At 51.8% G+C, this 25,858-nt stretch overlaps 1 protein-coding gene across 5 annotated transcripts in view, besides 10 other annotated features; it reads right to left on the bottom strand.

Moving 5' to 3' along the window:
• Positions 1–25,858, bottom strand: part of SLC6A6 (solute carrier family 6 member 6) — an 86,774-nt gene that overhangs the window by 57,669 nt on the left and 3,247 nt on the right. For 4 of the 5 annotated variants that reach the window (NR_103507.3, NM_001134367.3, NM_003043.6 and 1 more), the window contains exon 2: positions 15,228–15,269. Coding sequence is in view for 1 of the 5 variants with exons in the window: in NM_001134367.3 (NP_001127839.2) it covers positions 15,228–15,269 (42 nt within the window). In the remaining 4 variants the exon portion in view is untranslated. Of the gene's footprint in view, positions 1–5,360; positions 5,432–15,227; positions 15,270–25,858 lie in introns of those variants that run through there. The other variant, XM_011534030.2, reaches the window with a different exon arrangement.
• Positions 3,215–3,274: an enhancer, noted in NCBI's record as "active region_19511". NCBI's record gives its function as "activates an Ori minimal core promoter by ATAC-STARR-seq in GM12878 lymphoblastoid cells {active_cell/tissue: GM12878}" and the evidence as "EXISTENCE:reporter gene assay evidence [ECO:0000049][PMID:35858748]".
• Positions 3,215–3,584: a biological region, named in NCBI's record as "ReSE screen-validated silencer GRCh37_chr3:14469801-14469955".
• Positions 3,234–3,388: a silencer, noted in NCBI's record as "fragment chr3:14469801-14469955 (GRCh37/hg19 assembly coordinates)". NCBI's record gives its function as "represses an EF-1alpha promoter that drives an FKBP-Casp9 reporter gene in an ReSE screen in phorbol 12-myristate 13-acetate-treated (for megakaryocytic differentiation) K562 erythroleukemia cells {active_cell/tissue: K562(+PMA)}" and the evidence as "EXISTENCE:reporter gene assay evidence [ECO:0000049][PMID:32094911]".
• Positions 3,315–3,584: an enhancer, noted in NCBI's record as "active region_19510". NCBI's record gives its function as "activates an Ori minimal core promoter by ATAC-STARR-seq in GM12878 lymphoblastoid cells {active_cell/tissue: GM12878}" and the evidence as "EXISTENCE:reporter gene assay evidence [ECO:0000049][PMID:35858748]".
• Positions 8,657–9,479: an enhancer, noted in NCBI's record as "H3K27ac-H3K4me1 hESC enhancer chr3:14463710-14464532 (GRCh37/hg19 assembly coordinates)". NCBI's record gives its function as "activates a minimal SCP1, AML or CMV promoter by ChIP-STARR-seq in primed H9 embryonic stem cells {active_cell/tissue: H9 hESC(primed)}" and the evidence as "EXISTENCE:reporter gene assay evidence [ECO:0000049][PMID:30033119]".
• Positions 9,480–10,303: an enhancer, noted in NCBI's record as "H3K27ac-H3K4me1 hESC enhancer chr3:14462886-14463709 (GRCh37/hg19 assembly coordinates)". NCBI's record gives its function as "activates a minimal SCP1, AML or CMV promoter by ChIP-STARR-seq in primed H9 embryonic stem cells {active_cell/tissue: H9 hESC(primed)}" and the evidence as "EXISTENCE:reporter gene assay evidence [ECO:0000049][PMID:30033119]".
• Positions 17,852–17,951: a silencer, noted in NCBI's record as "silent region_14094". NCBI's record gives its function as "represses an Ori minimal core promoter by ATAC-STARR-seq in GM12878 lymphoblastoid cells {active_cell/tissue: GM12878}" and the evidence as "EXISTENCE:reporter gene assay evidence [ECO:0000049][PMID:35858748]".
• Positions 20,170–21,369: an enhancer, noted in NCBI's record as "MED14-independent group 3 enhancer chr3:14451820-14453019 (GRCh37/hg19 assembly coordinates)". NCBI's record gives its function as "activates an origin of replication core promoter dependent on BRD2, BRD4, P300/CBP and CDK7 cofactors, and independent of MED14, by STARR-seq in HCT116 cells {active_cell/tissue: HCT116}" and the evidence as "EXISTENCE:reporter gene assay evidence [ECO:0000049][PMID:35650434]".
• Positions 20,532–20,721: an enhancer, noted in NCBI's record as "active region_19509". NCBI's record gives its function as "activates an Ori minimal core promoter by ATAC-STARR-seq in GM12878 lymphoblastoid cells {active_cell/tissue: GM12878}" and the evidence as "EXISTENCE:reporter gene assay evidence [ECO:0000049][PMID:35858748]".
• Positions 25,307–25,477: a silencer, noted in NCBI's record as "fragment chr3:14447712-14447882 (GRCh37/hg19 assembly coordinates)". NCBI's record gives its function as "represses an EF-1alpha promoter that drives an FKBP-Casp9 reporter gene in an ReSE screen in HepG2 liver carcinoma cells {active_cell/tissue: HepG2}" and the evidence as "EXISTENCE:reporter gene assay evidence [ECO:0000049][PMID:32094911]".

Raw genomic sequence — 25,858 nt, 5'->3', positions numbered from 1 at the left:
GTGTTCTGGAGCACAGGTGCCTGCTCTACTTAACTGGAAGCCGATTCCTAGGCCCCCTCCACCATCCAGAACCAGCCCAAGATCCCCAGGGGTTCCTGAAGCACACGCTGTGGTTTCTCAAGCCCCAACACCCTTGGCTTGTGCTGTGCCCTCAGCCCGGTACACTCTTCCCCTGCCTAATGAGCAGGTACCCCTCACAGCCTCGATGGGACAGCCTCCAGGACAGCTCTGTCCCTGCGTTCCCAGCCTGTACTGTTGCTGTCTGTTACTCCCCAGTCACCCGGGTCCTGCTTCCTGACACCTAGTATTAATACAAGGCCCAGCACGATGAGGATTTTTCAGATGGAATGTTTAGGGCTTAGGGCTCTGGGGACACTCTGCATAGGGAGAAACAGCCTTCCACGTCAGGCATTCTGAGAGCTCCTCTACGAGGGCGACAGAGCAAACTGCAATGACAGATGCTGGGGTATGTGGACAGTGGGGAAGGGTGGACCAGGATGTGCTCCCAACATCTGAGCACAGTTTCCCATCAGATGGTCAAAACTCTACAGATGAACACCAGATCTTTAGGAAATCACTTTTCATTAAACGATGTCCATTCCTGAGCATCTTCCAATAATGACTTTGAAGTTAATTTTTCCTGCCCCTAAAGGTTTGCCAAGTGCCAGGGGATGCCCTGGGATCCCACACAAAATCAAAGACTCACAGTGGGGCTTTGGAGGTCTTGGCACGTCCACATCCAAGCCCATTTTACAGATGAGGAAACTGAGGCCCAGGCCACATAGCAGATCAGTGACAAGACAAAGCTACAGTCTCTAGCCTCCTCCACAGACGGCCCCATCAGAGCTGGAGGGAACTCATTTCACAGAGGGGAAACTGAGGCCTGAAAGATGTGGTGGAGGGGCGGGACATTCCCGACAACCCCAACTTGGTGGGATACAGTGGACGCCAGAGGCTGAACATAAGCTCTTCTTCCAAACTTGGGAGGATGAGGCTCATATCTAATTCTGTCAGGTTGGCAACTGTTGGTGCAGTGGTGGCAGCGACTTCCAGCACTACAAGATGGTGCCTAACAGCGGCTACTGCTCAGCCAGAAGAAAAGCTCAGCGCTAAAATCCACACTCGGGTGGGGCTAGGATGCAGGGAGGACCGACGCTTCTCAACTGTGGTCTTCCTACGTGCAGGGGCCATCTCCCAGGGCAACCCCCAGTGGTAGCCATCTCCCTCAACTTTCCATTGCAATTTAGCTTAAACTCTGGGGGTGCTGGGGACATGGTATACCTTCTGATGGCCTGTCACTCGTGGTGTGGCCCAAGAGGCCACACCAACCATTGGAAACTCCTTGGAGGCGTGCCCTGACCTCTGCTCCCACGTGCTTAGCCGGGTTTGTTTCTAGCAAACCCCAAATGCCTGCCATGTCAGCCCCCAGCTCAAGAACTATCAGTGACTCCCAGCTGCCTAGATAATAATCTGAACTTCTCCTCTTGGAATCCCAGGCTCACTAGAGTTGTCTGACTTGCCCCCAATCTCTGCCACCTTATTTCTCCTTTTGCCCAGCATGACTCTCTCCCCGGCACTGCCCCTTTCAAGTCTGTGCTTGGTTTGTGGGTTCTCTTACATTTAGGTAGATCCCACCCACCTGGAAGACCCTGGTCCAAGTGTCACCTCCCAGCAAAAGCCCTTCCCGCCCACCCAAGACTCTTCCGTTTAGCATCCTCCAGCTCAAATCACCCCCACCATTCACCAGACACTGCACTCTCATTCAGAACTGTGCAACTTTGGATAAAGTTCAAAGTTCTCCTTGGGAAACCTCAGTTTCTTGACCTGTAAGCGGGCCTCATAATCTGTAAAGTCATTCATTGCTGAAGTCTGTGGGATCTTAGGAGGGACTAGTGGATGACCAAAATCCTCACATGAGGAACATCAGAGTTGCCTGAGACACTGGCTAAAAATGCAGATGCCTGGGCCCATGCAGCCCTACTGACTGAATTTTCAAGGTGGGGGCCCACGAATCTGTCCTGTTTAACCAGCTTCCCAGGTGAATCTGAAAATCAGGTGAGGTTGGGAATGGCGGTGCTAATAATGAACTGGGAGGCACCTGGGCAAAACATCAAACAAAATCAGCTCAGGAAAGAGATTAAGGCTGGCTCATGACAGTGCGTGCATGTGATGCGTGTGTGCACACAGACGTCTCATCTGCCAGACTGTGAGCATCTAGGGGCTGGGCCAGGCTGAGTTTCACTTCTGCCAGCCTCACTAAGTCCAGGATCATCCCAACAGCCATTTATCCCGGACTTGAGAGTTTGCCAGAGAGTCTCTTATTCCCTATTGCTGCTGCTCCTCACCAGGCCCTGGCAGATGAAGACCTTGGCCCTCAACTTACAAATAAGGAAAATGAGGCTCAGAGGAGAATGACCTGGCCAAGGTTACTCCATAGCAAGTGGCAGAGCCCAGATGTGGACCCAGGACAGAGCCAACATGCCTTTATCCACTTGCTAAAGAGAAAGGGAGTTTGAGAAATCAAGGCAAAGGCTGGCAGGGGTGACCTAGGGCTCCTGGAGCTGGGCAGCTGAGTGAGGCCTGCATGTTTGAGACTGGGGGGAGAAGCCTTGGAGACCAACCCCGATTCCTGGGGGTAGGGGGGTGCAGAGGGAAAAAGAAGCCTGGCCTTGTCTCTGCAGCAGGCGAGGGGCACAGTTCAGCTGAGCAGGCCCCAGGCAGTGTCTCTAAGGACAGGAATGAGCTGCAAGGCACATTGCCTGGGACTTAGGGGCTCCCCTCACTGTCACCCAGCAGAGAGGAGTCACTTTCTCCAGTGGAGGCAGCAGGTGGGACTTCCCCAACAGCAGAAACACCTGTCCCTTAAACACCACCTCCCCAGGCATAGGGAACAATGGCAGGAAAGGCCAGCGGAGGCTCTGGTGACATTGCTTGACCAAGGTGAGGCTTGCCCTGCTCTGGACTGTGGTTCAGAACTGCTCTCAGGAGACTCAGCAGCCTGGAGGTGCAGGGTCCCAAATGTCCCTCCCACACACCTGCACACAGGGCCCCTCTCTCAGCAAAGGCACCCTCCCCAGGAGAGAAAGTTGTACACCATAAATAAACCTGTCTCTGCTTCAGGTTCCTCAAATATAGAATGGGAGTAATAACAGTACCTAAGTTGTGAGGCTGTTGAGAGATTAAAGAACCAAACATGTATGGACTGCTTAGAACAGTGCCTGGCATACAGCAGGCACTTAGAAAGTTCAAGCTATCAGGATGATGACAAAATTGACCGGCATTCTTCCTCAACTCATGGGCAGCCTGGGCTCTGAGCCGAGGCCCTGCTGAGCATCTCTTGGGCACCATGCCCGCCGAGTGCTTTACAGATCATCTTACAGGGCCAAGACCAGGGCTCAAACACTGGCCAACCGCTTCTGAGATTCAGGGTGTCACCCTAACAGCTGGGCCTCCTCCTAGCTGCCCCCTCCCTTCTATTCCAACTGTCTCTCTCCCAGGCCTCTCAGGGGCCAGCCTCCTCTTCTGCAGTGCATGTGACTGGGGGATCCTGGGGTCCCCATCAATATTCTTGCTGAGCAATGTGGGTCCCCTGTGTTGGTGGGTCCCTGGGGATCTGAGCACAGATGTGAAAACCTGCCATCACCTCCCTCCCCTAGCCCTTAGGATACAGTTAGGGGAGCATCTCAGGGCAGAAAGCAGAGTGGAGGAGCCGAGGGCCAGATCAGGGCCTGCAGTTCCCCATGCAAAGTACTGAGTACCCTTCTGGCCCTTGGGATGGTGGCACCTGCTAAGCTGGGGAGATGGAAGTTACAGGGGCTGGGAACTGGACTCGAGAGTAGAAAAGGACTTTGCTGTGGACCTGCAGAGCAACCCCAACAACCCACAGGAGGGAAGAGCAGGGCAGCTCCTTGGAGCAGGGTGGCCAGGCAGCTTCTCTCCACCTGCTGGCCCCTGGGACACCTTGGGCAGCTGGAGAGAAAACCTTCAGGAGAGGAATGTTACCTTGCTGGTGGCCCCCAGGATGGCTGCAACTGCAGAAGTCAGACACTGGGACCCCTCAACATGGCAGCTTTGAAACCCCACAGCTCCTGGCTGAAGGTCCTTGGGCACCGGGGACCCCTCCTTTAGGCATTATTGAATGACAGATCAGCCCAACAACTTGATGCCCAGAGTTCACATATAGTAAGCAGACAGAGGCCTGGGAAGGAAGGCGGGGCTAGCCAGGAAGCTCTGAAGCCAGGCTGATGGGGCTCAAACCCCAGCTCTGCAACCGTGGGCAGCATATGCTCTGTGCCTCGGTTTCCTCACCTGTAAAACATGGCTGATAATGGCATCGACCTCACAGGGTGGATGGCGATCCCACCAGGTTAATTTCTCAGGACAGGGCCAGGTGCCCAGAGAAGTGTACGTTAAAACTCCAGGTGTGAAGGGGAACATCTACTCATGCTGGGGCTAATCTGGAAGAGCTGCCTGCCTGTAGCAGGACTCAGGACAGCTGCAATTATTGTGGTTGGCTCTTAGGTCTTCCCAAAGGGCTTCTACTCTGAGGCACAGAAGCAGCCAGAGAGTGCGGAAGACACCCAGCACCCAGGGTCTCTGTGCCTCAGAGTACCTGAGCATGAGGTCACAATGCTCCTTCCAGCACAGCGCAGGGTGCTGGGAGGCTGTGTTTTCCAGGAAAGTACACCACATAAGAACGCTCTGCAGCAGAACTAAAGCCAGAGAGGGGTTCCTTTATCACAGAACCCCCATCGCCACGCCGTTTCTGGGAGGCCCTGCCATTCCCAGGCCCTGAAGGACACATTCCTGCTCATCCTCAGGTGCACCTTCCCCTGGGAAGCCGGCCCAGAAGTTTCTTCTTCCTCACCAAGACCGCAGGAAGCTCTAGGGCAGGGCCAGCCCTCCTCCCAGGTAGGGATGAGGAGGGTCCCGGCTTATTGTCATAGCAACCCTTGGTTCTCCTAATTCCACCTGTTCTTGTATAACTGAAATAATAACTGCAGCTGACATTGTCTGTCTGGCACTGTGACGGGCACTTTACATAATTCTAGCTAATAGAAATGTTTTAATCAGGCTAAATATTTTTTTCTTTCCTTAAATCATTTTTCACTGATTACAGCTGCTTACTTTTCTCCTAATTAGTCCGAAAGTAGCGAGACTGTGTAGCATCTTAGAGTCTAATGGGGCTTAAAAGCACACTCGAAATGCTTTAAATGTATGCAAAATCCTCCAACCTCGTGGCCAATCCCAGCTCCCTGGGCTGCAGGCTTGCATGTGCAGTTTGGGGATCAGCAGGTGGACGCAGTATTTTACCCAATCCTTAACCAGCCACCCTTTGGGATGGCTGGGGGGGGACTTACCCCAAATGGAGATGAGGAACTACGGCTCAGAATCAATAAGCGACTTGACCGAGGTTGCACAGCCAGGAAGTGGTGGACTGGAGTCTGGATCGGTAACCACTGCGCTCTGGGGCACCGCCTGGCTGTGACCTTAGATACCAGGAAGTCTCTCCCCCTCAACCTGACACAGGGGGAAACTGAAACCAGCAGGAGGCAGGGGAATTATTTTTCAAATTAACTCAAGGATTAGAATCCAGGTCTCTTGAATCAGCCCAGATCAAAAGTATTTTCACGGACCGGGTGGCAGCTGGCCTCAATCATAAGAGCAGCAGCTAACAGCCCTGGCTGCGCGAGGCCCAGTGCTCAATGCTTGCAAGGCATCTTCCCATTTAATTATACTCATAATTGGTGAGAGTCATGCATACCTGCCGTGATTACTAACTACTGACCCCGCAGGCTAGGGAAGAAATGTTTAGCCATTTAAATTCAGACTGGCCAGAGAAATTAAGTGGCTGATATCCAGGGGTGTGACCAATCTCAATGAAACTGATGAGGGGAAGGACCATGGGTAGTCTCCCAACCCACACCATTTTTGGAAACGCAATTGTTGCCTTCCACCCTCCCTGCCCCGAGTCCCCCACCCACCCCTCACCTCCTTAGAGCTTCCTTTCACTCCTGCAAAGTGTGTCACCCACTGCAGCCCCGGGTGTAATCAGCTTATTCTCCCATGTACAGCCTGGGCCATCTGAAAACGGTTCCCTTTACTCCTTGGGGGCAAGGATACCTGAGATTTAGGCCACAACTATATATAGCCAAGAAATCCGTCCTTTTTAATTGACTCATCTATTTATTTGGTCAAGCAGTTCCTGCTGACCCCCAGATGGCCGAGTTCTACATAATTCCTCCCGACAATGTGTGTGGAGAGGAGGGGCCCTCCCTGCCTCTGCTGCTTGGGCTCTGTATTCCCAGTGCAGGCAGCTCCTGCGGGACTCTGTTTCCCAAATAAGGTTTGCCTAGTTCCACCCTTTGCCTATGCTGCATCACCTATGTTTTAGTTGGAACCTAACACTGCACCCCTTCCCAGCTGCAAGTGGTGACCTCAGGAATGTCACTTCCCCCTGGGGGGCTCAGTTGCATCATCTGTAAAATGGGTCATCGTCGTGAATTACACAAGGAAGGTACAAGGAAGTGCCTCGAATACACAATTGGATTTGCTCTCAGGAGAAACAGGATACTCTGTGCCCAAGAAAGATTAGCCATCTTTCATGGCGTGCCTTCGTTCAACCAACACTTGACCTTGACTCCGCCCCTTCTTAGCATCCAGCTAAGTGCAGAGAGAGGCAGAAACAAACACCCCTGGGCTCCAGATCTGCCACACTGGGAAAATACCAGCTGAACGGTTTCTCCAGCCGGTGTTGTGTGTCAAACAGGCGGCTTCGACCGAGCTTCCTTCAATAGCGCCGTGTCCCCGTCCCCTCCCTCCCAATGCACTTCACGGGCTCCCAAAACCACGTGAGTCAGCAAACTGGGTTAGACACCTCGTTAGAGTGGGTTTCCTCTGGAGACTTGTGGCCGTGCCTGTGATTCTCCTGCAGCGGTGTTTGGTTGAAGGCAGGGTTTGTCTGTTCAGGAGCCAGTTGTCAAAACAACAAGCACTACCTTTAAGGGGCAGTTGGAACCATGAAATAAGGATTCCTGTTTCTGGCTGGTTCCCCAGAGTGAATCAAGACCAACCACTCTGAACAGATCCGAGGCCACTGAGCCAGACCCAACCCCACCCCCTACCCCAGGCAGCTCCTCTCCCCTCCCCATTGCCCAGAGCAGGACACCCCAGCCACGCTGCACTCCTTAGGGCTTCTACAGGCTTCCACTCTCTACCAGGCCTTTCCACGGGCTGTTTCCCCTACTGGGAATGCCCTCACTGTCTGGTGCCCAACTGGCATATTTTTGATATTCAAGACCTCAGGGAGCTTTTTTTTTTTTTTAACTTTGCGTGCCCAAAGCACCTTCAAGAGGCCCTCCCCATCCCTGACAGGGTCCTGATTTGTAGCATCTTCCCACACAAGCTCCCAGGCTGGACAGAGGGCAGCTCATTTCAGGGTCCCTAGCCCCAGCTGGGGCCTGAACCACAGCAAAAGTCCATAACTTTTGGATGACTGATCAGACTTTCAATTCTCAATGTTTATATGCTTAGAGATTTTTCCCCAAACTTCCCCTAACGTCAAACACTCTTGCTGGGGCCTTTCCAGTACTAGGCAGAGCTGGCAGGGGTTTGAAAAGGTGACTTTCTCAAATGGACTAGAAAGGCCAAAGGAAAACAAAAGGTCTTGACTCCATGACCTTAAGCTGGGACGACCCTTCTCCCCAGAATCATCCTGCAGGTCCAGAACCCAGCCATGAGACTTCCAGACTCGGCCACACAGGGATCGCTTGGCCCACAGAAGGCCACACTCCCTGATTTTGTCTCCTTTAGGGTGAGAGACTTCACTGAATGTCTGGATTGTTAAATGTGAATAAATCACCCCTGAATTATGACCAATATTAATTAATAAGACACATTTGGTATTTTCAAAATACCAAGATGCTTTCTCCTACATGCACTTGCTAACCCAGTAGTTATCATAGGGCCCATTTTACAGATGGGGCAACTGAGGCCCAGGCAGAAGATGGACTTGCCCAAAGAAGTAGCACCAAATACTATTCTCTTGACAGCACCAAAACAGGAAGGTGGTTCTGAGAGGAGCAGAGGCCTGAGGTCTCAAGGTGCTGTGTGACCTTGAGCAGGTCACTGTACTTCTCTGAGCCTCAGGAGGCTTATTATGAGGAAAGTGGATGAAAAGGTGGAGGCAGACAGGCTCATGAGCCCACAGTCACAAACAGCTTCCTTCTACCCACCTGAGACAAGGTCCAGCCTCCTGGCTCTTTACCAACTGCACTGTGCCTGGTGTATAGTGGTTGCTCAATATTTACTAAGTGAATGAATGTTGTCTCACAACATTCATGTGTGAGTGTCTCACACTCATCCCAGGTGTGAGATCACACCGAGGCATGAGAAGGCCTGGCACAGCAGGGCTCCCTCCCCTGGACACACTGTCTGTCCTTCCAGAGGCACTTCGTCCCCTTCTTCCTATCCAGAAGACACCTCTTGCCTGCTGGCTGTAGAGTCCTTTTGAAGTCCTCTGGGTTCCTCTACAGTTTTTCCAAAGCAAATGCCCATTACTAAGGGTGTCATGTGGACAACACACATGCCACCTCTTCCCACCTTGCCCCCTTGACAGACACTGCTAATCAATCCTGGCTTCCTTCTCATTGATGTGGACCCAGTCTTGGATTCCTCATCAGAATCTGGTCTCTCTGGGTCCCCAGTAACTTAAGGGACAAGAGACAGACCCTTGTCTGGGAACCCTTGTCCAGGACTGGCAGGATGCCCAGAAGAGACTTGAGGGGCTGTGAGACTAGCAGAAGCTCTCAGGAAAACTCAACCCAGAAAATATAAATGAGAACCTAGCCCCCTCCTTGTGACAGAGGTAGCAAAGGAGGTAGGAGGCGTGAGTCCTTTGCAACACAATGGCCCAGGTGGGACCCCACAGAGCAAGAGGAGTGAGGGTAGGGATTTGGAGGTGGGAGCCAAGCTGGGGCTAGGAATTGAAAGGCTGAAGAGCAGGGATGCAACTCTACCTCTGGCTGGGAGGAGGGTGGGGGTGAGAAGCAATGACAGGAAGCCAAGGTGGCCTGCATGCAGGCCCCCAGAAGGTGAGCCACTAAGCGGCCAAGCTGGGGTGGGGCCTGGACACCGGCCCTATGCTGCACGTGCTCTGTGCCTGACTTAGTGGAGGACGCTCAGCTCAGAGGAGAGATCCGCACCAGGGCATCGGCTCCTAAATCGAAGGGGTGGAGACTCACCCAAGCTCGGCACTGCCACCCCAAGAACCTACCCTGGGAATAAATGATTTATTCTATTCACTCTTTTTTCCATGGCGAATCAGAGGTCACACAGAGGGTTAGTGACTTGTCCCAGCTCTGCCAGCAAGTGTGTGGAGACATGAGTAGATAAAGGCACCCTGAGGGTCCCTGCGGGCATTTGGGTCTGAATACTGACCCCAGGACACCTTCCTTCATGGGTGCCTGAGGAGCCAGCCCTCCAAAACCCCCGAGGCTGTCTGCAGCCCCAGGGATCCTGGCGGTGCTTGCTTTTTAAGTCCAGGAGGTTTCTGGACTTAATTGTCCACTGACTTAGAACACATGGACAGATGGAAATGCCTTCCAGGAACTCCCCTCAGACTTCACTGAGGTGGGCAGCCATGGTCCCGAAAGTCCCTGTCCATTTCTGAAAAAGCCCCCTCCCTTAAGAAATCCCCCTCCGACCCCTGCTGGGTCCAAGAGCCGAGACGAGAAGATGCACCCAAGACATCCTCACTCCACCTGAGGCCCAAGCTTTCCCACGAGGCTGAGGCCAGAGAGGAGGCACCTGCCTGCCCTGGCCCCAGCTCCCAGCAGCAGCTGTGTGCAAAACCAAAGCCAAAGATGTGGGCTAAATCCAGGCTCCTGTCCTGACACGTGGCTGACTTCCAGTTTCTCACTGCCTTCCTGAGCCCCAGTTTTCTCACCTGTAAATGGGGGGCAGTAGTAACTACCCTACAAGATGATGTAGGTATCAAAGCTGGAAAAACCGTGCAAACTGTAGAGGGCTGCAGATGCGATTACTATGCATATATTCAGACTTCTCTGAGATAGAGGCACCAAACATAATCACAATACTACGAGCAATAACGATGTTAACTTCATTTATTGAAGAACTGCTATGTGCCGTTCTGAGCTAACGTTCACAGTTAGAACTGCTAACTTTCACCATTTTTCTTCCCTGACCCTCACAACCAGAGAAGGGAGCTTCTACATCAGGCCCGTTTTGACAGAGGACACTGAAGCCCACAGCGAGGTTAAACGATGTGCTCAGAGTCACAGAGCAGGGTAGAAACTGAATGACATTCACACTCAGGCTCACGGGACCCCTGAGCTCAGGTCCTAACAGTACATCTCTAGAGGATGGAGTATGTTTTTCAACCTCGAGTCTGGCCCAGTACTCAGAGCTATTTTTTGCTTACCGGCTTTTTCTCATCTCCCCCAAATGAGAAAGGCTGGCAGACTGGGGGCTGCTTCTCTGGGATGAATTGTTTTAAATCCCGTTTCCTAAAGTCCCGAAGGCAGGAGCTCCCCAGGGAGGTGCCACCCCTCCATCTCCATGCCCCAGGGCTGTCACTGATATTAGGCCAGAGTGAAAATGAGGGCAACCCCTGCGGGGTCAATGATTCATCAACACGTATGCAGCATCTCAAACACGTGCACCCCATTCGACCAGCAAGCCCACTTCTTGCTTAGACCAACGTGTAAAGACGCCCACTCAAAAGAAGTTCACTGGCTTCAGCTTTGCCAGACAAAAAAGTTCGGGAAATTGGCGGCACAACACTTTAAATCTACTTACCATGACTGAATTGTACACTTTCAAGGGGTTAAGATGGTCAGCTTTAAGTTATTTGTCTTTTACAACAATTGAAAATAGAGGCTGGGCGCGGTGGCTCATGCCTGTAATCCCAGAACTTTGGAAGGCCAAGTCAGAAGGATCACTTGAGCCCAGAAGTTTGAAACCAGCCTGGGCAACATAGTGAGACCCAGTCTCTAAAAAAAATAATTAGCCAGGCATGGAGGCATGCATGTAATCCCAGGTACTCAGGAGGCTGAGGTGGGAGGAAGGCTTGAGTTTGGAAGGTCAAGGCTGTAGCGAGCTATGATCACACCACTGCTCTCCAGCCTGGGTGACAGAGCAAGACTCTGTCTCAAAAAAAAAAAAAAAAAAAGCAGAGTGGTTTACAAGAGAAACTGTAACCAGCCAATTTCCCATCACTATGGGATTAATTAAATAAACACTGCTTTAGTCAAACAAATCATGGCTTACAACAAGGTCAGCAAACTGGCCACTGGGCCAAATCCAGCAGCTTGTTTTCTCTTGCCTCAGCCTCCAGAGTAGCTGGAACTACAGGTGCGCACCATCACGCACAGCTAATTTTTGTATTTTTAGTAGAGATGGGGTTTTGCCATGTTGGCCAGGCTGGTCTTGAACTTCTGACCTCAAGTGATCCACCCGCCTCAGCCTCCCAAACTGCTGGGATTACAGGCGTGAGCCACTGTGCCTGTTCAAAAATGTATGACTTTTATAACCAGAGTAAATAATAAATATCATTTTATTACGGTCTTGAGCCTTCTAGGAAGCGAATGTTGAGGTTGGCACTTCTGTTGAACAGGCCTGAGGTGGCCTTTTCTGACAACACTGGAAGTCATGGGCCTGTTATATCAACACTCCTATATGCACCAGTTTACAATGGGTGCGGGGCATGGGGGCAGACACCCCGTGGGAGATCTCACCACAAGCCCAGAGAGGGTCTCCCTGTTAAGAATCTTCTTTCTTCCTTAAGCTGCCCCAGGCACCGGGAGGGTGAATCTGATTTCTGGACTCAGCCCCATAGCTGAGGGGGTGGGGAGTTGCTCTAGGGGGGGCTCACCTTGGGGGATAAAATGAGAAATTGCATGTGGGGTGCTTGGCACTGATGTGCTAGGCCTTTTGCACACTTAACCTCACTGTGCTTACAAAGTGATGAGGTCACCCCCACCCCAAAATCCCAGTATCACCGTCTTTCTAACCCTCCTGGGTGCCACTATTGCTCCATTTCAGGGGTGGGTTACCTGAGGCTCAGGGTAGTTCTGTGACTCCTCCAGGTCACGAAGCCGGCAGGGCTGGAACAGAGATTTGAACTAGGGACTGCCTGACTCCCCAGCTCCATGGACTCCACTACATGGGTTGCCCCCTGTCAGCAATACTTTTTTGGGCTGGTCCATTAATAGTTCAGGCTCTGCTGAACAACTAACACACATTCCCATGTCCGCATCATGCCCCTTCTCAGATGAGAACCTGAAGGTCAGAGCCCTCAAGTGACGTGCCCAGTGAGGAGGGCGCACACCTAGCAGTGCTCAGACTTCAGAGCTGACAAGGTCTGTTCTTCCACCCTGTTCCTCTAGACACCCCTGCCATGTCAGGGGGCCGAGGAGCCCTTTCAGAAAGTGTTAAGCCAAGAGGGCTGCTTGGAGGAGCATCAGATAAGTCTGAGGGCAAATCTGCCTCTCAGCCTTTTCTATAAAATGGGCTCCCAAGCGCAAATACATCAGCAAGCCTCAAAAAGAGGAACATTGGCAACCTCTGTTTACTGCCTGTAACAGCCCATCCCAGGCAGGGCCCCTTGCACAAGACTCTATCTGGAAGCAGAACTCACATTCCAGCCTCACGGCAGCAGGAGCCTCATTTCCCAGGTGCTTTGACTACTCATTAACCAGGAGGAAGTCCCGGGGGAAGGGGAAGGGGCTGGGCCCAGAGGCCGTTCCCAGCCTGAGGAAGTGGGCTAGAGTCAGCTCAATCAGGTTCAAATCCTTCCCAGCTGTGTAGTCTTGGAAACAATCAATTCATCTCTCCAAGCCTCAGTTTTCTGATCTGTACAATAGGGATGACATCAGCGCCCACCTCACAAGGCTCCTGAGGAGGCTGTGCATGAGTCTGTGACGTGTTTAGCAGTGCCTGATGTGCAATAAGCGCTCAATGAATTTCTCATATTTTTTCAAAAAGAGTAAGAGCACACCCACTTCTTTGGGTTGACAGAGTTAACACAGTAAACCTCTCGGCAGTATATGAGCATGCTGAGTCCAGGAAGCGGTAGCAATCATTATTATTGACGTCTATAACTATTATGATGACGCCTGTGGAGGCTGACGTCGAGTAGGTCACCTCCATGCCTGCCCAGTGGCTGGCTGGGTACACACCCCTGCCCGATGTCACAGCACAAAGAATATGTCTCCATGGGGTGGGGCTGCTTGTGACCAAGCAACCTAGGCCAGCTGAGCTTGATGAAAAGGAAGGACTTGGTCCAGCTGCTAGCAGCAGCAGGTTGAGGAGCTCTGGGCCACAAACAAACGCTTGCCTAGTCCCGGCTTCACAGGGGACCCCACTCCAACCAATCCGAACCCTGGACCAGTGGGAGCTTAACCTTCCCCCTTAGAAATTTCTGCCCAGGAAGCCAGGGTTTTCTAATTCCAAAGCAGAGTCCACAGTGGGTCTTGACATCAATGTAAGGGGTCAAGGCCATCTTTTTTACTAAAGGAAGACAGAGCAGACCAGAGCACAGCAGATGGCGAGTACGAGGATGATCTGAGAAACTTCAATTTCAGGGTTTGAGTTTGACGTGTGTGTTTGTGTACATGCACACGCAGGCCACATCCCATTGTAAAATGTATTTAATGAACGCTGAGGATTAAATAAGACTCTGAAAGCCCCTAGAGCAGGCAATGTCTTAATCAGCGAAGGAGACATCCCTTAAACCCTTTTTAAAAACATAATGACGATCCTGAACTAAAAGAAAAATAAGGCTGCTGTAAACACTGAGACAATCAGTGCAATGCCATTAAGATCCACAGATAACAGAATCACGTCAATGTTAAATCAGTGTCCTGGGGTAGATAACTGTGCTAGGGTTATATAAGAGAATGGCCTTGCTCTTTTTTTTTTTTTTTTTCGAGACGGAGTCTCGCTGCGTCGCCCAGGCTGGAGTGCAGTGGCACGATCGCGGCTCGCTGCAAGCTCCATCCCCCGGGTTCACGCCATTCTCCTGCCTCAGCCTCCCGAGTAGCTGGAACTACAGGCGCCCGCCACCACGTCTGGCTAATTTTTTGTGTTTTTTAGTAGAGACAGGGTTTCACCGTGTTAGCCAGGATGGTCTCGATCTCCTGACCTCGTGATCTGCCCACCTTGGCCTCCCAAAGTGCTGGGATCCCAGGCGTGAGCCACGGCGCCCGGCCTGGCCTTGCTCTTATGAAAGGCCTGAAGGATTGAGGTGAAGGGGCATCATGCCTGCAATTTACTCCCCAATGATTCAGCAAAAATGGAAGAATGTTCACGTGACTGTTTTTATTTAACATATTAGTGAGAAAGAGATGAAGCGAATGTGGCAAATGTTACCCATGGGAAAATCTCAACGAAGGGCATAATGCGAGGCCACTGTAATACTCTTGCAACTTTAGCAAAGGTTTTCCATTTTACTTGTTTATTTATAATTTTATTTATATTATTTTTAATTTTTGCTGAGATGGGGCTCATTATGTTGCCCACGCTGGTCTCGAGCTCCTGGCCTCAAGCAATCCTCCTGCCTTGGCCTCCCAAAGTGCAGGGATTGGAGGCGTGAGCCACTGTGCCCTTGACAACATCGTGAAACCCCGTTACTCCAAAAAATACAAAAATAAGCTGGGCACGGCGGCACGCGCCTGTAGTGCCAGCTGCTAGGGAGGCTGGGGTGGGAGGATCACCTGAACCTGGGGAGATCGAGGCTGCAGTGAGCCCTGATGACACCACTGCACCCCAGCGTAGGCGACAGAGTGTGACCCTGTCTCAAAACAAAAACAAACCTTTAACAGAGACAGAGCCAAGCTCAGACCCCAATCCTCAGAATCAACTCAGTGAGGGCATCCTCCCCACGGCAGACTTGCCCCAGGCTACTCTGCAGCAGAGCCAGGACAGGGCACAGGCTGGATCTCCAAAACCAGTGCTTGGCCCATTTGCAGGGCGTCCCTGTGCCCTCTGGCACAGACTGGCTGGGGACCAAGCAGGCACAGAGTGGCCAAGCCAGGCCAGGGGATCTGCCACCTGGAGGTGAGGTGTGGACAAGGTCTGTGGGCCTCAGGGGTCCCGTCTTGTCCTCCTAGAGCCTGGGGGAGACACGGAGCTCCTGAGCCCCCCACCTTGGGTCACTGCACAACGTGTGAGACACCCATCCCACCTGGAGGTCCAAGGTCACTTACGTTTGGGAGCTCCTCAGAAGGGCTGTGGTTCTGGTTCTGGATCTATTGCAAAGAGAGGAAGCGAAGACGGAAGAAAGAGATCTGGTCAGAGGCAGACTGTGCACAGGGCCCCTAATTGTCCACCCACTTGTAACCACCAGACGTGTGTGCTGGGGAGGGGCTGACCAAACCCCTTGGAAGGCCAGGACGCTGAGGCTCACACATGCATACTCACACATGCCAACACAAGCTCACATGCAGACGCACAGACACAAGTGTAATCATATGCAGACTCCCAGCCCCACACACTTGCCTGTGTCAGCCACACACATGTTCACAGCCACACACAGACCCACATGGGACACACACTCACACATGCACTCCCACTCACTCACACACGCCCCTCTCTTGGATGCAGGGTCCCCAAAACTTAGTCAGCAGCAAGAACCATCACATTGCCCTTGGTCAGAGGGGAACAAGGTTTCAGCTGCAAATGGGTAAGCTGTTCCACAGCCCTAGCCACAGAAAGCCCACACTCCTGAGCGCCCCACCAGCTCAGTCACATAGCCTGACTATTCCCAAGGGGCGCAGGGACACACCAGGGCCAGAGTGAGGGGCCTCAGAGAAGATCCTTGGGGGATGTGGTATTCACCAACCAGTTCAGGGGCGAGAATCACTGTGCCTAGGAAATCTGCTGAGCTTTGCTGAGCCAAGCAGTCCCGGACGTGACTAACCCAGAAGACTTTTTTTGGAGCGGGGGGGTTCTGTTGTCTTTTTCAGTAGAAGCTCAGTTTGGGAAATAGGCAGCTGGGGGCAGATCACCTCCTCCTACCAGCAAAGCTCCTTGCCCTGAGGCTGGAAGGCTCTCCTGGATTCCTGGAATCTAAGTGTACAAAGTCAGGAAATCATTTCTTCTCAAATGAGATATTTTCAATGAACTGTTAAACTGGGATCAGCAGAAATGGGCAGTGGGTGTCTCAGGGGGAGAGGGCATGGGAGGGTGGGTCTGGGAGAGCAGACAGAGGCCTCCAGGACCCCTTTCCTTGCTGTAGCTGTAGCCCTGCCCTGGCAGCCTCCTTCCCAGACCCAGAGGCGCACTTGCCAGTGTCAGTAAATGCCAGTCCCGGCAGCCTACAGAGCTCCCTGTCCCCCAAATTAGATGATCTCATTGCTTTGTTAGGGCCTCCACATTCAACAGGCTCACACTGGCACCCACTGGGTACAAGGCACTGTGGAGTAGGAACAGTCAGTCAACAACTTATGGTGCACTTACTGTGCCAGGCACTGCACTGGGCACATGAAGCTCAGCAGTGGATGACAGAGCCAAGGTCCCTGAGCTCATGAGGCCTGGAACCACCGGCTAGAGGCTGGGCACATGAGAGGCCATCAAGGCTTCATTCTAGGCTCTGTGAAGTCTGGGCTGGATTAGTGATGTCTGCTGTGGGTTTGGGTGGTGGAAGTAGCAACGTAAACCTTGCTATCCTAGACCATACACAGGGAAGTGGGATAAAGTGAAAGATGAAGGCAGCCTGTTTAAAGCACGAGGTTAAGAGAATCAGAGGAAGGACAGCATAATTCTGCATAGGGCAAAACCTTACCAATTACAAGAGGCCAGCCCATCTCAGAGAGGAGGATAAGAATGGCACTAAAGGCTAGGTGTGCTCATGTCTGCAATCCCAGCACTCTTGGAGGCTGAGGCAGAAGGCTCATGAGCCCAAGAGTTCAAGACCAACCTGAGCAACACAGGGAGACCTGTCTCTACAAAAAAATAAAATTTAAAAATTAGCTGGGTATGGTGGCACATGCCTGTAGTCCCACCCACTTGGGAGGCTGAGGTGGGAGGACTGCTTGAGCCCAGAAGTTTGAGGTTGCAGCGAGCAGTGATCGTACCACTGCAGTCCAGCCAGGGTGACAGAGTGAGACCCTGTCTCTTAAAAAAAAAGAAAAAAAAAAGAATAGCACTAAAGTCCATATGTCTAGCCTGCTGGCACCCATGCCCCTTCTGGGGACAGCTTAAACCTGTTCCAGGAGGAGACCCACATAGGCCTGCTCTCAGCCCAAGGGGTCTAGATGGACTGACCCCACCTCCTCCTCCTAGGTGGGCACGTGAGCCAGCCCTAGCCAATCAGAGGGGGCTGTCTTGATTGGCTCAAAGATAGGCACTTGACCAGCCTGGTCAAAAACAGTGATGACTAGGACTTTTGCCAAAAATATTGGGGAAAAACAAGGCTCTTTCTTGGTTGAGATGGCTACATTGGGGCAGGGGGCGGCACTACACTGGTGAGCAGCTAGGGCATCCATGGAGAATGAAGCAGGCATAGAGAGACCCGGAGCCGGGAGACAGAGAGAAGGAAACTGAGTCCCGATGACATCTTTCAGCACCTGGACTCAGCCCCAGGCTGAAGTATGGCCCCAGGCTTTTAAGTTAAAAGAGTCAGTAAATGTTCTTTTTTATTTTTAATGTCAGTTTAGGCCGGGTGTGGTGACTCATGCCTGGGAGACACAGAAAGACTCATCTCAAAAATAAATAAATAAAAAAAATAAAACTGAAGTCTGTTTGAACTGATTTCTGCCATTTGCAAGATAAGAATCCAGACCTATACCCTGCCTTGAACTTGCTGCGTAATTTTATGCATGTCTCTGACACACTCCTCCCATTATAAAAAAGAGGAAGGATGCAGATGACAGAACACCTGAGGTTCCCGCAGCCCTGGCACTCTAGTTATCACGGGCAAGGATTAGGCCTGACCCTTCCCCCAGCCCCACCCCCGGCCCCAGGCACACAGCCAGAGAGGTCATCAGCCCTTCCCAAAGTTAAATACAAAGCAGAATTGCCTGGAGGGCTCTTGAAAACCCAGAATGCGGAGCCCTGCCCCCAAGGTCTAAATGAGAAGGTCTGGGGTGGGGCCTGAGGTTCTGCATTCTGCAGGCTCCCACGTGATGCCCATACTGCTGGGCCAGGGACAGCATTTTGAGGACTCAGAGTCACTACGTGTTCTACTTTTCCCAGTTTGCTGAGGACAGGTGCTCAGTGCAAAAATAAAGCCCCAGCCAGCAGAAGACCACGACCTCTCTGTCCTCAAAGCAGACGGCGATTACGGAGAATGCCTGCGTGGCTGCAGGGATGAACCAGCCTTTAAACAACGGAAGCAGCAGGTCCCAGCTCCTGTGGTCCCATCACTGCCCCTTCCAGCCAGCTGTGTTCCCTGGAATGTATTTAAATAATGGGGGAGGCTGTCAGAGGCTAAGGTGCTTCCTTGGGCTCCAGCAGGCTCCAGGCTGGTTTTCCAGGCGCCCAGAGCATCCCCAGTGGCTCCCCCACTCCCAGGCATCATGCCAGCCCCAAATCCCGCTGTGGGCCTTGTCCGGACACAGTGACCCAGGCCGCCCTGCTGTCAGCAGCCTGGCTAGCCCTGGGCTCTCCCCTGATTTACATCCGACTTGGCTGCCTTGAAAAGCCTCCTGTGGCTTTTGGAGCGAGGACACTGTTCAGTAGTGAAAGGCTTCCCCAACAGCAACCTTTCCAAGGTGGCGCTGGCCCAGCACGAATGCCGGCAGGCTCCCAGCTGTGTGACCTTGGGCAAGTTACCTGCCCTCAGCAGGGCCTCGGGTCTTCATGTGCAAAATGGGAATAGTGGTGTCTTTGGTGAGGATTAAGAAGAGGAGTTGACGAAGCACAGGATCTGGCTTTTAATGTATAGGAGGCTCACAACTGCACTATTTATCTCCTTGACTCAAAGAGTGGTCCCCAGACCAGCACCGTCCACAGTGCCTGGGATTTGGTTAGAAATTCAGGGCCCCAGGCCCCACTTAGGCCTGCTGTCTCACTGTTGTCACCCAGGCTGGAGTGCGGTGGCACGATCTCAGCTCAGTACAATCTCTGCCTACCAGGCTCATCCTCCCAAATAGCTGGGACTACAGGTGCGTGCCACCACACCCGGCGAATTTTTGCATTTTTTTAGAGATGGGGTTTTGCCATGTTGCCCAGGCTGGTCTCGAACTCCTGAGCTCAAGCAATCCACCTGCCTCAGTCTCCCAAAATACTGGGATTACAGGCGTGAGCCACCACACCTGGACGAGTTTTTGCTTTTCTTTTTTTAAAAGTCTGTTCTAATTGATATTCTACCAGTGGCAGAAGAGGAATCCACATTATTGTTCCTCGAGGCAACGTTCTTTACTAAAAGCCTGTTGCTACAGCTCTGCTCAGAGTAACTCTGGAACTCCTGTCCCCAAATCGGGACACCTCCTTTCAGAGCCAGGGCTAGGACATCTTGAAAAACCACCAAGAGGATGACTGCATCCTTAAAGGAGTCCCGCAGGAACAGCACCCCGTGTGGTGGCACGCGCTTCCACAATGGATAGAATGGTCTTTCCTCCCTTTATTCAGAAGGTATTTCCCTTAAACACAAAACCTATCTGGGCCACCCCTTACAGGGCCAGGGAGGAGAAAGGACTCACTTAGGTCACAGAGCAAGCCAGAGGACAGGGGTATTCTAAGCCTGGTGTTGCAGTGCCTGATGCAGGGCCTTTGATTTTAAAAGGGCATTAGCCATGCATGTGTAATCTTTTGTCTGACGTCCATAGCCCTGCCAGACAGACAGCTCCATGAGGGTACAGTTTGGTCTGTCTTGTTCACCAGCCACATCCCCAGGGCCTAGGACAGGGCCTGGAACAAGTGAATATTTGTGAGATGGATGGATGGATTGATGGATGGTGACAGGTGAATATAATTTCCAAGCCTGGAGCCACTCAGATGTTCAAACCATAGGTTCCCATTTCAGAGTAGAAGGAATTAGGCTCTCTTGATTTGTATGTTGAGCAACAACTGTGTGCCACACCCCTAGGCTGGATGCTGGAGCATCCATCCCTCCCCTTGATGTGTCCCCAGTCAAGTGCATGGGTATAAGGTAAGACCATAAAGGTCCGAGCTCAGGCCAGAGGAAAGGACCACAAGGCTCAGAGCAGGGCGAGCTGAAGTCCACTTTAACTCACGTCATCTTTTTTGAGTGCTTACTACGTGCCAGGCACTGTTAAGAGGCTCAAGGAATGCTTCCCAGAGCAGGCAGCTCCAAGCTCGCCCCTTAAGAGTGGGAATAAGGAGTGATGGGAGGAAGGGCCTTGCGGGCTGAGGGACCAGCATGGGCAGGGCTGAGAGAGCTGGACGCTTGGTCTAGCTAGGAGCAGAAACCAGCCAGACTACAAACAAGGAAAGAAGTTGTGGTAGGTGAGCGTGAACGCTGGCCAAGAGCCAGATCGTGAAGGGCCTCCAATGCCAGGCTAAGGAGGTTGGACTTGATTTCACAAAGCACTAGGGAGCCACCACTGAAGGCTTTTGAGCAAGAGAGTGACATGCAGAGAGCTGGTCCCCAGATGGTACAGAGAGGTATCCAGGAGGCACAGAGGCTAGTGAGGAGGCTGTTGTCTTGGGCTGGTGTGATGTCCACCTGCAGAGGAAACACCAGGTGTCATCTCTGAAGGAATGAATGTCCTTGAAATCATGACCTGAGTCTTCCCTCATGGTGCTGACTAGCCTTGGGGCAAGAGAGGATGTCCCTTAGGACCTCCCCCTTCCGGCACCCTTCACTCAGTAAGCATGACTCTGCTGAAATCGCTGGCCAACCACACTCCTCCACCTCCAACCAAGCAACTGGCAGCCTTGGGTTAAGGACTTTCCACTGGAACATGACAGTGAGTCACTTGGCATTTATGTGCAAAGAAAAGTCCTGGAAAGGAAGAGCCTCTCAGGGCACCCCAGCATGAGGAGGGACCACGCAGAGAAGTGGTCCTGAGCCTCTGGGTCGGCAAGGACCCGATGTGAGCAGAACCCTGAGGGCTCAGCCCTCTGCCTTCCAGCCTAGGCCTGCTCAGATACCTGCTGAGGGAGGAAGCCTTCCATTGCCAGCCCAACCCTTCTCCTGGAGACCACCAGCCCTCTCCCTACCTTCCACGTTCTATTCCATGCAGTGGCCAGAGCTGCTCACCACGCTCCTTCTTGAGCTTTCCAGGAACCCCATCCTGGGCTCTGGGGGTGTCTCCTGAGCAGCCAAACTGTAAGGAGTCTTTGCAATTGATACAGTTTTGCCCTCCCACCCACTTTCCAGTGACTTGTGACAAAACCAGGATGTGAGAGTCATGAACAATATCACCGAAGGTTTGAGGTGGAGGCATTAACCCTTTCCTTAAATCCCTCCCTGTCAAGGGGGGGTTCACACAAGCAATGAATGATGGGTGCGGCTGGGAGGGGGGAGCACAGGGAGCCACATCTGTGAACAATGGCTTTTTTTTTTTTTTTTTTTTTGAGATGGAGTCTCACTCTGTCGCATAGGATGGAGGGCAGTAGCGAGATGTTGGCTCACTGCAACCTCTGCCCAAGTGATTCTCCTGCCTCAGCCTCCCAAGCAGCTGGGATTACAGGTGCCCACCACTGCACCTGACTAATTTTTGTATTTTTAGTAGAAATGGGGTTTCACCATATTGGCCAGGCTGGTCTCGAACTCCTGACCTCGTGATCCGCCCGCCTGGGCCTCCCAAAGTGCTGGGATTACAGACGTGAGCCAGTGTGCCTGGCCAACAATGGCTCTTTTGATGGCTTTATCTTCCTGTGTTGATAAGTGCCTCCTTTGGGCCTCAGCGTCCTCATCCATAAAGTGGGTGGGCAGAGAAGGTTAACTGGATGATCCCACAACCCCAAAGTCCCCACACTCCACAGCCTGGGGCTGCTCTCCCTCAGACCTGAGGCGGCGTTCCCAGACTGGATCCTTGGCCTGCCTTGGCATAAACCATCTTAGACTGTTCACTAACCTCCTCCTGATAGGGATCTCCCCTCCCTCCTTGAGCACAGGTGCTGTGTATTCCTCCCTGCCCTCTTGGCCCTGGCCCTGTGCCTGGCACACAGTAGGCACTCATGAACGTTTGCCGTGCGGTCAGTGGGACGAGGATGGGCTGAGGCATCCGGTGGACTCTGGGTCCAGCGCTCCTTCCACCCTTTCCTAGCTGAGTGTGGGCTGGGGCCACCCATTTTTCTGATGAACTCATCTCTGAGACAGGAAGGGGGATAAAGCACCGTGGATGCTCAATAAATATGAGTTCCTTCCCTTCTCAGAATGCTGAATCGGCTCAGCCGGCTCCTCTGCACCCTCCGGGGCAAGTCCTGGGTGGGGGTATTTCATTTACTGAGCTGGCAGCACTGGGGGTGATCAGACAGGACACGCAAAGTCAGTGGCTCCCAAATGCAGGCTGGCTGTTTGGAATGGCCTGGCAGATCCGTGTGTTCTGACATGCAGTCCACATGGCCTGCTATTGGGATAGACCAAGTGGCAGAACCAAGAACAGTACCATGTCATTTTTGTTCAAAACAAAACAAAACTGGCCAGGCGTGGTGGCTCACGCCAGTAATCCCAGCACTTTGGGAGGCCGAGGCGGGCAGATCACCAGGTCAGGAGATCGAGACCATCCTGGCTAACATGGTGAAACTCTGTCTCTACTAAAAATACAAAAAAAATTAGCTGGGCGTGGTAGCGGGTGCCTGTAGTCCCAGCTACTTGGGAGGCTGAGGCAGGAGAATGGCCTGAACCCAGGAGGCGGAGCTTGCAGTGAGCTGAGATCACGCCACTGCACTCCAGCCTGGGCGACAGAGCGAGACTCCGTCCCAAAAACAAACAAACAAAAAAAAAACAAAACAAAACTACAGCTAGCTTCCAAACAGATCCCAAATAATGCCTGGATCAAAGAGGAAATCAAAACTCAAGTGAAAACTGATCCAGTAAGTAACAAAAAGGAGTCTATGTCCATATGCACACCTGGATAAAGTTTAAGCTGTATGCAGAGGGAAATGTATAACCTTATATTAAAAAGAGATATGATAGACTGCCCAGCATTTTCGAAGGCCAAGGCAGGCGGATCACTTGAGGTCAGGAGTTAGAGACCAGCCTGGCCAACATGGTGAAACCCTGTCTCTACTAAAAATACAAAAATTAGCCAGGCATAATGGCACGTGCCGGTAGTCCCAGCTACTCAGAAGGCTGAGGCAGGAGAATCGCTTGAACCTGGGAGGCGGAGGTTGCAGTGAGCTGAGGTCAAGCCACTGCACTCCAGCCTGGGTGACAGAGCAAGACTCTGTCTCAAAAAAAAAAAAAGAAAGAGATATGATAGACTGTCAATCAGGCAGGTGGACAGACTGAAGATCAGATTGTACTTTTTTATAATGATCCGAAAGGATCACTTTTTAGTTTATGCAGTTTCGTATTGCTTGAGGTATATTACTTTTATAATTAAAAGTGAATGGTTTACCAGTTTCTCAAAAAGTTAACACATATCTACTACCTTATAACCCAGCAGCTCTAGTCCTAGAGAAAGGAAAATATATGTCCACAAAAACACTTGTACAGAAATATGCACATAGAAGCTTTATTAGTAATAGCTGCCCCCCAGCTGGAAACAACCCAAATGTCCATCAACAGCATGGATGAACGCATTGTGGAACATCCATACAATGGGAGACTACTCAGCGATAAAAAAAAAAATCAACTCCTGATATACTCAACAGCACAGATGGATCCCAGCAATGTGAGGCAGAAAAAAATGGACAAAAGAGTATACACTAAATAAGTCCATTTATATGAGGATTTAGACTGGCAAAACTAATTTATGGTGACAGAAATCAGAAAGTGGGCCTGGTATGGTGGGGCATGCCTGTAATCCCAGCACTCTGGGAGGCCCGCAAGGGTGGATCGTTTAAGCCTAGTAGTTTGACACCAGCCTGGCAACACAGCAAAACCCTGTCTCTACAAGAAATACAAAAGAAACTAGCCAGGTGTGGTGGCGTGCGCCTGTAGTCCCAGCTACTTGGGAAGTGAGGTGGGAGGATCATCTGAGACTGGGGAGGTCGAGGCTGCAGTAGAGATCATGCCACTGCACTCCAGCCTGGGAAACAGAATAAGACTCTGTCTCAAAAAAAAAAAAAAAGAAAAAGAAAACGGAGAAAGTGGCTGTCTTGTGAGGTGAGGAGCACAAGACAACTTTCTGAGGTGCTGGAAATGTTCTATATCTTGATTTGGGTGGTGGTTACACAGGTGTATACATTTGTCAAAACTCATCAAACCGTAACAGAATCTTTGCATATTACTGCATGTAAATCATAACTCAATTTAAAAAACATTTTTTAAAAATCATCTAAGGTGGGAGGATCGCTTGAGCTCAGGAGTTCAAGACCAGCCCAGGCAACATGGTGAAACCTCCTCCGTACAAAAAATACAAAAATTAGCCTGGAGTGGTGGTGCATGCCTGTAGTCCCAGCTACTTGGAAGGCTGAGGTGGGAGGATCACTTGAGCCCAGGAGATCGAGGCTGCAGTGAACTGTGATGGCACCACTGCACTCCAGCCTGGGCAACGAAGTCAGACCCTGTCTCAAAAAAAAAAACCACAAGAAAAACTTTAAAAATACAGATTCCCAGGCTCCATCCCCCTGGAGGTTCTGATTCAGTATGTCCAGGCTGGGCCTGGGAGTCTGAATATGTTTGTTTGTTTGTTTTTAAGTATCCCAGGCAATTCTGATACCTGACCACAGTTAGGGCAGCCCACCTGCCTCCCCCATCATTCCCTCCCCACTCTTTTGTTTCAGGTGGTTTATTATTTGTATGTTGGTTTTTCCAAGAGAAGGGTGGTTGGCCACACAACGCTGGAGCTTTAGAAACAGAACAGCAATTCCTCACTCTCTCTGCTTTCCCTCTCGTAACCCTAACTCCCACCCTTGGCATCAGCCTCTGCCCAGGTTTCCAAATGAAGCCTCTGACCAGGTAAGGCAGGAAAGGAAACTCCGCAGACCTGTCCAGGACTGGCATAACTCACCTAGAGACACTAGGGCTGTGTGCTCCAGGGAGGTCAAAGCCAGCAAGTTAATGGCCTGTGTACCGGTTAAATAGCATGTCCAGGCCTTCACCCCCATGTTTACAGAAAGAGTTCAGGGCAAGACTCATTGGTACAGAAAATGCTTAGTGGCTCGGTGACTCTCCGTCTCCTGGACCCCAGTTCCGTTCCTTACTCACCATCAGGGTTCTCCTGGGCTCCAGGCTTGACTGGCTTCTGCCCCACTATCCTTAAACCCAGTATGACTCCTGCTGCCATCAGGAGAAAGCCCAAACCCACTTACACAGCATTCAAGGCCCTCCGGCTGGCACGGTGGCTCACACCTATAATCAACACTTGGGAGGCTGAGGCGAGAAGATTGCCTGAGCCCAGGAGCTTGAGACCATCCTGGGCAACATAGTAAGACCCTGTCTCTATTTTTATATGTGAAAAAATAAAACGCCCCCCTCCCCACCATCTGGCTCCTATTCCTCTCTCCAGCTAGGACCCGGGGAACCTGTTCTACAAACATGCTTGGCTATTTCACGCCACTGTGCCCTTGTGGCTACTCTGCCCCCTGTGGAGAATGCCAGCCCATCCTGTTTCTCCACCCACAGACAATGGCAACTCCGACACTGTGTCCTCTAGGAAGCGAAAGTGCCTCCTGCCCACTACCCCACCCTCACTGCACACTCAGCTGCTCCTTGGGTCTTCTTCACTGTATCCTACGGATGGTAATGGCCATTGCAGTTACCACATGCTTCTACCTCTGGGACAGGAGCTCCTAGAAAGCCAACACTCTACCTTGA

This window comes from Homo sapiens, chromosome 3, assembly GCF_000001405.40.
Source record: "Homo sapiens chromosome 3, GRCh38.p14 Primary Assembly".
NCBI lineage: Eukaryota > Metazoa > Chordata > Mammalia > Primates > Hominidae > Homo > Homo sapiens.
Note: the sequence above shows the minus strand (reverse complement) of the source record. Positions and strands in the feature narration are given on the sequence as shown.